We start from the raw sequence: 2,266 nt of genomic DNA on the forward strand, positions 1-2,266 counted from the left end.
TCCTCATCTGTTACCTATCTCGGCATAATTCTCATAAAAACACACGTGCTCTCCCTGCTGATCGTGTCCGATTAATCTCCCAAACCTCAATCCCTTACAAAAGAACAACTCCTTTCCTTCCTAGGCATGGTTAGTGCGGTCAGAATTCTTACACAAGAGCCAGGACCGCACCGTGTAGCCTTTCTGTCCAAACAACTTGACCTTACTGTTTTAGCCTGGCCCTCATGTCTGCGTGCAGCAGCTGCCGCTGCTTTAATACTGTTAGAGGCCCTAAAAATCACAAACTATGCTCAACTCACTCTCTACATTTCTCATAACTTCCAAAATCTATTTTCTTCCTCATATCTGACGCATATACTTTCTGCTCCCCGGCTCTTTCACAATTACCATTGTTCCTGGCCCGGACTTTCACATTATTCCTGATACCACACCTGACCCCCATGACTGTATCTCTCTGATCCACCTGATATTCACACCATTTCCCCATATTTCCTTCTTTACTGTTCCTCACCCTGATCACGCTTGATTTATTGATGGCAGTTCCACCAGGCCTAATCGCCACACACCAGCAAAGGCAGGCTATGCTATAGTACAAGCCACTAGCCCACCTCTCAGGACCTCTCATTTCCTTTCCATCGTGGAAATCTGTCCTCAAGGAAATAACTTCTCAGTGTTCCATCTGCTATTCTACTACTACTCAGGGATTATTCAGGCCCCCTCCCTTCCCTACACATCAAGCCCAAGGATTTGCCCCCCACCCAGGACTGGCAAATTAGCTTTACTCAACATGTCCTGAGTCAGGAAACTAAAATACCTCTTAGTCTAAATAGACACTTTCACTGAATAAGTAAAGGCCTTTCCTACAGGGTCTGAGAAGGCCACCGCAGTCATTTCTTCCCTTCTGTCAGACATAATTCCTCAGTTTAGCCTTCCCACCTGTATACAGTCTGATAACAGACTAGCCTTTATTAGTCAAATCAGCCAAGCAGTTTTTCAGGTTCTTAGTATTCAGTGAAACCTTTATATCCCTTACGGTCCTCCATCTTCAAGAAAAGTAGAACGGACTAAAGGTCTTTTAAAAACACACCTCACCAAGCTCAGCCACCAACTTAAAAAGGACTGGACAATACTTTTACCACTTTCCCTTCTCAGAAGTCAGGCCTGTCCTCGGAGTGCTACAGGGTACAGCCCACTTAAGCTCCTGTATAGACGCTCCTTTTTATTAGGCCCCAGTCTCATTCCAGACACCAGACCAACTTAGACTGTGCCCCCAAAAAACTTGTCATCCCTACTATCTTCTGTCTAGTCATACTCCTATTCACCGTTCTCAACTACTCATACATGCCCTGCTCTTGTTTACACTGCCGGTTTACACTGTTTTTCCAAGCCATAACAGCTGATATCTCCTGGTGCTATCCCCAAACTGCCACTCTTAACTCTTGAAGTAAATAAATAATCTTTGCTGGCAGGACTATGCTGAATCTCCTTAGGCACTCTCTAATCAGATATCCTGAGTCGTCCCAATTCTTAGACCTTTTATACCTGTTTTTCTCCTTCTGTTATTCCATTTAGTTGTTCAATTCATATAAAACCATATCCAGGCCATCACCAATCATTCTATACGACAAATGTTTCTTCTAACATCCCCACAACATCACCCCTTACCACAAGACCTCCCTTCAGCTTAATCTCTCCCACTCTAGGTTCTCACGCCGCCCCTAATCCCGCTTGAAGCAGCCCTGAGAAACATTGCCCATTCTGTCTCCATACCACCCCCCAAAAATTTTCGCCGCCCCAACACTTCAACACTATTTTGTTTTATTTTTCTTATTAATATAAGAAGGCAGGAATGTCAGGCCTCTGAGCCCAAGCCAAGCCATCGCATCCCCTGTGACTTCCAGGTATACGACCAGATGGCCTGAAGTAACTGAAGAATCACAAAAGAAGTGAATATGCCCTGCCCCACCTTAACTGATGACATTCCACCACAAAAGAAGTGTAAATGGCCGGTCCTTGCCTTAAGTGATGACATTATCTTGTGAAAGTCCTTTTCCTGGCTCATCCTGGCTCAAAAACACCCCCACTGAGCACCTTGTGACCCCCACTCCTGCCCGCCAGAGAACAAACCTCCTTTGACTGTAATTTTCCTTTACCTACCCAAATCCTATAAAACAGCCCCACCCTTATCTCCCTTCACTGACTCTCTTTTCGGACTCAGCCCACCTGCACCCAGGTGAAATAAACAGCCATGTTGCTCACACAAAGC

The 2,266-nt window shown here is 45.2% G+C and overlaps 1 annotated feature.

The window, feature by feature from the left end:
- Positions 1,676-2,207: an enhancer, noted in NCBI's record as "OCT4-NANOG-H3K27ac hESC enhancer chr20:38902777-38903308 (GRCh37/hg19 assembly coordinates)". NCBI's record gives its function as "activates a minimal SCP1, AML or CMV promoter by ChIP-STARR-seq in naive and primed H9 embryonic stem cells {active_cell/tissue: H9 hESC(naive and primed)}" and the evidence as "EXISTENCE:reporter gene assay evidence [ECO:0000049][PMID:30033119]".

This window comes from Homo sapiens, chromosome 20 (assembly GCF_000001405.40).
Source record: "Homo sapiens chromosome 20, GRCh38.p14 Primary Assembly".
NCBI classification, from domain to species: Eukaryota; Metazoa; Chordata; class Mammalia; order Primates; family Hominidae; genus Homo; species Homo sapiens.